Source organism: Homo sapiens, chromosome 1, assembly GCF_000001405.40.
Source record: "Homo sapiens chromosome 1, GRCh38.p14 Primary Assembly".
NCBI lineage: Eukaryota > Metazoa > Chordata > Mammalia > Primates > Hominidae > Homo > Homo sapiens.
This window is the reverse complement of record NC_000001.11, coordinates 172,384,492-172,392,556: the sequence shown is the minus strand read 5'-3', so window position 1 is coordinate 172,392,556 and position 8,065 is coordinate 172,384,492. Positions and strand designations below refer to the sequence as shown.

Genomic DNA, 8,065 nt, shown 5'->3' with positions numbered 1-8,065 from the left:
TATATCTGAAAATAGTTACATCAGCTCTAAAGTTAATGTCTGATGAAGATCAGGATCTTCAATTAAGAGAATAGGAACCCTAAAGAGGTGGTGATGTCTGTTTAAGATCATCTTGTTAAGTAAATAAATACACACTGGATTGGATTTTCAAACAGCATTTAGCCCCTTCAGAGAAGTTGAGTGGAGGTGAGAGGGGAGGTGACAATCCAGATATTCTGGCAATAGAAAATGTTCCACAAATCACTGATTTGTGTATACTCAAGTTACCAATGACAGAAGCATACATACTAGTGAATCTCTTTGGGATAGAGATGCTTCTCTAGTTCAAGTGGAATTAATTAAAACAGGCATGTAGTTTGCAATATTTCCAGCTCCCTAACTGAAAGGCTCCATGCACATAAACCAGAACAGCTTGAGCAGCTGAGAAAAGCTGGGCCAAAAATGACTCCACCACCTCTCTCCTTCCTCTCCTTTTATATTGGAATGGAAAGATACAATAATATATATTTTTTAAAAGCAGAACACTCATGGTTTCTGTACAATTGCAAGTGTGCTTTGATTACCTTTGAATGGCGTTAACATAAAAGTATATATGCTCTTAAAAGTCAAGATCATAACTTGCTAATGAAGTCGTGAATTATCCAGAAGAAAACTATGCACAAGCCCATGCTGAATGGCAGAATCTCTTGTCTCTAAAAGTTCAGTTATTGCCTTTGTAATATTAAAGCCCAACAGGGAGCTGGCGGGACACCTTTTGTGCTGTCTTGTCATGTTATAGGTTTCTGGTTTCAGATACAAGAGGAGAAAGGACCCTTAAGAAAGTAAAAAACTTGAAAAAAAAAATCAAACTTCCTTCTCTGAAAACAAAGGGTTGTTTTCCCAGAGATGATGGATAATGGCATTTCAACTTTCTAAGTTTTTGATAGAGAAAATGGAGGCAAAGCACAGAGGGGAAATAGAATATATTAAACAAACAGAATAAGGTGAAGTTTCAACAAGCGCTTCTCTCAATTTCTTTCTTTCTCTCGTTCTCTCTTCCTTTCTTTTTTTGAAATCTTAAACCCCATTTCTGGCTTGTATTTGGTAGGATTCCTGCTCTGGCTTTTATTAAAAACAGACTTTATGTGGTCAGAACTCTCCATCTAAAGCTGGATTTAACAGGCATGGGGATCCTGACAGAGTCTTTCTTGCCCTCTCTCAGGTGACCACCCCTCCCCCAGCCCCCTTCCCCGGGATTTCCCTCCCAAAGCGCTGAACCAGCACAGAAACTTGAAGGCTCAGCACAAAACAACAAACTTTCCTCTTTTACCCTGTACTTTCATTTCTGTTTTAAATTTGGGACTCTTTGCATGGCCAGATCAAGTAAAGTCTGGTTCTAACTTGAGAGTATTCTAGAAATTTCAAATAAGGCAACTGTCATCCTATAAATTCCCTAATGTAGTCTCATTAAGCCCTGCTGCCCATGTGCCGGCCATCCAGCTCGGGCTACTCATTCTCATCCGGCTGCCTTGTTCGTGCGAGCTGGAAAATACTAACGGCAACTCCACCCTGCTTAACAAGTCAGCTTAGCATTCAAAAGTTGATTTTTCTGAAGGGTACTGGCAAGCTAGCTCATCTGAAACCCACAGGTAAAGCAGTCAAGCAAGCAGGCAGAACATGCATGTTCATTCCCCAGGACAGGCACCACCAGTTTGCTCTGGTTTTTTCTCACAGCTAGACAGACAAAAGTAGCTCCTGCATGGCACTCCAGCCTTCCCACTCTCAACTCTTCCTCTTCCAATGGCCTCAATACCTTCCTGGTACAATGGCAGACACTTTCCTAGTCAATTTGAGGTTTTCTAAAATAATAAATTGGATCTTGCTTGTAGCAAGGCTCAATGCGGAAATTCATGGTTTTACATGGAAGGGAATTCTTTTGAATACTACAGTGCAGTGGTTCTCACGTGGAGAGGAATTTTACTCCCCTAAGGGACATTGGGAGTGTCTACAGATATTTTTAGTGGTCACAACTGGGGACTGCAACTGAAATCTAGAGGGTAGAGGGGAGGGATGCTGCTAAACATCTTACAATACACAGGACAGCCCTCCACAACAAAAACGTCAGTACTGATGAGGCTGAAAAACCCTGGGGTCATGGTCAGGAAATGGCTTTGGAAGCAGACTGCATGGGATTAAAGTCCAGCTCCACTAGGGACTGGCTGAGCAGCCTTGGGCAAGCTGTTTAACCTCACTGCCTCATCTGTAAAATGTGGATAACAACCTATTTGTTGTGAGCTTTAAACAAAAATGTATATACAAAGTTCTTAGGGCAATGCCTAGTAATATTGAGGGCACAATAAATGTTGGCTATTGCTAGTACTGCTATTACTAGAAATTTAGCACCATTCCAAATAATTTATAAGCCAAGTCTATTGAATTTAGAGAAAAAAAATTGGATTGAGAGTGTGTATATATCCTCTTTGCTTAGGACCAAAATGATAACAGTGGTAACAACTGTAGTCTTTACAGTGTATCAAACTCTTTCAAATACCTCATGTCATATGATCTGGGGAACAACCTTATTGAGTTCTCCCTGTTTCATAGATAAAGAACTCCCGTCTCAGAGTTAAATGAGTTGCCCAAGACCTTCAGTAACCCAGGTCTTCTGACTGCAAATCTCCTGCCTATTCTTGCTGTACCACCCTCTGTGTACTAGCTTAAGATCCCCCTTCTTCTCTTCTCTTCATTACGCTTAACAACTTGAAGATTAAAATAAAACGTAAGTGCCATAATCAGTTGGCAAGGTGGCTCAGGCTTCAGGGATGGGTAGAAGTCACATCTGTTTTTATGGTTCATATACAGTCAGATATTCCTTCATGGAGTATATAAATATTTTAATTCTCTGAATTGAATTTTTTAAAAATTAACTTTATATATGGGCTAATTTTCTTTCCTCTTTATATTTCTGATTTTGAGGGGGAAAAAAACCTTAGTACTTTATACCTTAAAAATCTCTGATTCTATTCATTGTGTATATTTTGACTGTAAGTATATGAAGGTGAGACTACAGCTCCAACTATGTGTGTTTCTAGGTCCATTATTTATTAGCTATATTGTTTCACAATTAAGCCTGAAAATCCACTTATAATTGTCAACACGTATTATTCAGATGTACAATGATCTATCTTATATATGATTAGTGACTGTATACAACAATCATGCCTATATTAAAATTTCTATGTGTAGTTTTTAAAAAAACAATTGCAGATCAATCAGCCAGATTTATTCAGCCTATATGAAAATTGGTAAAATTGAGTATAAGGATCACAGTTCAGAAGGCAGATGGATAAAATTCTCTAAGTCAGTGGTTTTCAAGAATTCTTTTGATAATGGAGAAGGCAAGACTTTAGTCCATGGAACTCTCATGACCTATAGAACACACAGCTTGCTACAATCCTCCATAGCTCTTTTGTTTCAAAGCCCTCAAATTCTCCCAATAGCTGCCAAAATGTCATTCATTGGGACGGAGTGTTCTTTAGTCCTATTTAGTCTGTGCCAATTGATAAATGAGAAATTTCAATGATCACAAGTGATTTTTAAATGGCATAACAGGGTTGGCAATTTTCCTATAGTCTCTGTTCATTGTGAAAACTGCAAACACGTACGATAAGATCTTTGCAATTTTCTCTTTCAAATAAATTTTGTCTGTCATTCTATGAGAAGAGAACCAAGGCGCACTACCCCCCCAATTTCTGCTCCATGCCTTACCTTGGGACACTGGGCGGGGCCCTCGTAGGCCTAGATGGAACTTGTGGAGGGGCTCCGAAGGAGTCACTGCTGCTGGGGAAAGGAGGTAATGGGCCTGGACGGAATGGGACTGGAGGAGCCCCAGAGTGGGGGCCAGGAGAGGGAATGGCAGGAGCTGGTCCTCGGCCGGATGTGGGCCTTGCGAGGGGAGCACTTAGTGTTGGCCTCCTTTGGGTTGTGGGGCTTGGAGGAGGTGACCTGAGGAAAAAGAGAAATCATAGTTTGCTCACTCCTCCTTTCTGTCTGAATTAATCTCTAAAAATGTTTTGTAACTTCCTGCTTTTTAAAAATTATTTTTTGACTGAATAAGTCCAATTCATGTCATGAAAGTCAAAGGGATAAAAGGGTAAATGGAGAAAAGTAAGTTTTCCTCTCCCTACCCCTTCACTCTGTTGAAACAACTATAGAAGTTTCTTGTGCATCCTTTTTAACTGTATTCTACATTTGTATAAGTATATATTTTCTCTCTCTATATATAAATTGCTTTTCTGTATACCATAGAACACAGTCTTCTACAACCTCCTTTTTTTTTTCTTTGAGGCGGAGTCTCGCTCTGTCACCCAGGCTGGAGTGCAGTGGCGTGATCTCGGCTCACTGCAACCTCTGACTCCTGAATTCAAGCGATTCTCCTGCCTCAGCCTCCCGAGTAGCTGGGATCACAGGTGTGCGCCACCACCCCCAGCTAATTTTTGTATTTTTAGTAGGGACAGGGTTTCACTATGTTGGCCAGCCTGGTCTCAAACTCCTGACCTTAGGTGATCCGCTTGCCTCGGCCTCCCAAAGTGCTGGGAATACAGGCGTGAGCCACCGCGCCTGGCATACAACCTCCCTTTTTTTTAAAGCTTCCCGTTAACTGGATTATCTTTTCATTTTAGGACTTAATAGAACTGTCTTGTTCTTTTTAGTGACTATATAACATTCCATTGTGAGGATGCACTGTGCTGCATTTTTAAGGGAGTTAGTATAATCTGATCCTTACTCCTGAATGTAAATATCTTTTCCCCTTTTTCTGTAGGTCCATCTTGGTTTAGGAAAGCACTCTCAGAAAATGATATTGGACAAGCGTGGCAGGGCTCAGGGGTTGTGGGTGGGTCCATCTTCTTTTTTTTTTTTGAGACGGAGTCTTGCTCTGTCACCCAGGCTGGAGTGCAGTGCACGATCTCGGCTCACTGCAAGCTCTGCCTCCCGGGTTCACACCATTCTCCTGCCTCAGCCTCCCGAGTAGCTGGGACTACAGGCACCCGCCACCACGCCCGGCTAATTTTTTTTATGTTTTTAGTAGAGACAGGGTTTCACTATGTTCGCCAGGATGGTCTCGATCTCCTGACCTCGTGATCCGCCCGCCTCGGCCTCTCAAAGTGCTGGGATTACAGGAGCGAGCCACCGCACCCGGCCGGGGCCATCTTCTTACCTGCGAGAGTGCTGTATCCAGGAGTCATCCACTGGAGGGGGTGCCGGAGTGGACACGGTGGCTGTGCTGATGTCCCCAATTATCCCAAGGGCTTCTTTCAGTGCTTGATACATTCGAAGCATCTCATCCCGGCGCTGAGCCTGCTCAGCAGATTCCTCCATCAGGGTATTTTGGTCCTCTGAAGAATACAACTGTGCTAGGAGCTCGGAATTTATGAAATCTTTAACCTGTCAGATCACCACAGAGAAATAAAAATGGGAATAAATGAGTGACTGAGTGGAGGTAGAAACATGGCTGTGGCAGTCAGAGTCTGGACAAAGTCCACCAAAGTCCACCAAAGTCCACCCTGGGAAAAGTGAAGCACCAAGCGTCTGTTTACTTTTGTTTTGTCTCTATCCCCAGTACTGGTGACAGTAACAGTTTCCCTCTGTCTTTTGGCTGTCCACACTGAAGGATGATAGAGATGAGTAGAAGAAGGCCAAACCCAGCCATCACCAGAACAGGGCCTGCTGGCTTTGTGAGCATTTCACAATATTGTCTGGAGCTGTTTGGCTTATAGAAGAGGGAAGGTACTATGAGGTAAGAAGCAGTATTTTCAACAGAAAACAGTGATGTGAAGAAACCTATGTAATCACACGTTTTCCATTCCTTGGCATTCGCAGTCCTTTCCCTAGCTTTTACCAAAATCACTGGAAAATTATTGAGATGCCAAGTTTCAGTGTCGTCTCAAAAGTGAAATTAGCACCAGTAAGTGAATATTTATTAAATACAGAATCTTATATAACTATGCAGGTTGATTTATAAACAAGTGAAAGAGATGCACTCTGTTTTCCAGAAGTTTACAATAGAAGTTAGTTAACAGTGATGGGGACTGACATGAGGTTGCATAGTTAGCTAATATATAAAAACAAACTAAAGTATGAACACTATGTGGGAGTCTCAGGGGGAGGGGCATTTTGTTGCAGGATGAAAATGGAGAGGATGAATATGGTGCACAACACTGAGAGTGGGAACGCCAGCTACTGTATCTCATCAACTCTAAGACACCAGTGATTTTAAGAAACACTACTATCATATGTGCTGACTATTCAGACAAAAAAAAAATACCATCAATCAAACTTTGACAGGATGTCAAGATGCCATTGAGTATAAGATGCATCTTCATTTCAGAAATATTAAATAAAAAGAAGTGAATGTGAGAATCGATGAAGTATGGTATATACCAAGTGGCTTCATAAGTTATATGACAATTCTTATCACACACTGAAGAAACATGTATTAGTATTCCAGTTTTATAGATACAGAAACAAGTTCCAAGAATTTAAGTATCTTGTGCTAGGTCACACAGCATTCAGTTGAATCCATAACCTTCTGACTTGAAGTCCGGTGCCCATTCCCTTACCCCATTATCTCACTGTGATTGAGTGCTTAAAAAAGTAAATTTTTGTTTAAGTATCATTATTTTACAGTAGTGCAGCAATTAACTTAAGCCTAGTAAAAATAAGCCGTTTGAATTTTTCAGTTTCTCTGTTACATGAGAAAGCTAACTCTTATCTAGACTCATGAATATCTTTAAGAAAGGCCAAACGCAAGTATATATTTAATTGTTAAAAAATCAGGCAGATAACAGAACAGCTGTCAGATGCTCCAAATTTCTAGGATATGGTTAAATTTGTAATTCAGAGATGACAAGAACCTAAAACACATAGCTTCATTATGTTTTAAAGGCATCAAAACATGTAAATAATTCTACTAATCAAAAAATTCAGCTAAATCAAAGGTTTATTGTGGTGAAATAAAGTGTTTTCTGTACATATTTTGTAAACCAAGAGTGATTCAAAGGTGAAAGTAATCTAATACACAAGATGTATTTAGGAAACCCTCTGTGGAGTAGAGGTTTATGCACGATAGTTGTGGAAGGTAAGTTTGGCCAGGAATCCTGAGGCAGATGCGAAGGCCTTGAATGCCAAGGAAAAGTGTTTGAACTTTATTTGCTTGGCAATGAGGGGCCAGCGAAAGCGTTTAAGCAAGTAAGTGAAACAATAAAAGAGAGTTTTAGGAAAATTAATCTGGCTAACATTGAAAAAGACTTTGCAAGGGTGGTAGTGAAAATAAAGAAATCTGTTAGAAGGCTATTGTAGATCGTTCATAAGATGGTAAATGTTTCATTTAATAACGCAGTAGTATAAAAAATGGATACATACAATGACATTATAAGGGAATAATGAACTGAACTTGGTGCTGTTGGGATGTGAAGGGCAAGGAAGAAAGGAACAACCAAAGACATCTCAAGCATTGACATTTGGATGAGTAGGAGAATAGAAACTCAAACATCAGAAAAGAAAGTCAGATTTAGAGGGAAGGCAGCAAATTTGGCTTTAGGAATATTTCATTCCCTTCCTTACAGACGCATTCACTTCTAAATGTACTTGCAGGTATGCAGGGAATCATGGATATTTGCACAAATCTCCCACTGTTGGGTATGTATATGCAGTTGGATGCATGGTGCAATTCAAAACTCAAAACCAGACAATTTTCCTGGCATTGACCATTGGTTGGGTTAAGCTCTTTAGAAACTTTACATATTACTGGAATATCACTTAGAATCTATTAAATACAATTTAAAAGAAGATTCTTCCAAGAATAGATTTAAAGCAGAGCTGAATTAAGAATCAACTGTCAAACCATGAAGCAAAATAAGGGCCTGTTTCAGCATTCTGACCAAAGATGTGCCTTGAATCTTCCACAGCAATTATGACACACTGGAACTTGCCTACTGTGCAATACAGTGGATTCAGAGCATAGGCTGTGGATTTAAGTTCTAGTTCTAACACTTACTGTTCTTGGGCAAATAATGTAAACTGTTTG

General features: G+C 40.3%; 1 protein-coding gene across 16 annotated transcripts in view; it reads right to left on the bottom strand.

The window, feature by feature from the left end:
* Positions 1-8,065, bottom strand: part of DNM3 (dynamin 3) — a 576,969-nt gene that overhangs the window by 25,910 nt on the left and 542,994 nt on the right. For all 16 annotated transcript variants that reach the window (NR_146559.2, XM_017000979.2, NM_001350206.2 and 13 more), the window contains 2 exons: positions 5,198-5,424; positions 3,748-3,984 (listed from right to left, as the gene is read on the bottom strand). Coding sequence is in view for 15 of the 16 variants with exons in the window: in XM_017000979.2 (XP_016856468.1) it covers positions 3,748-3,984; positions 5,198-5,424 (464 nt within the window). In the remaining variant the exon portion in view is untranslated. The remainder of the gene's footprint in view (positions 1-3,747; positions 3,985-5,197; positions 5,425-8,065) is intronic.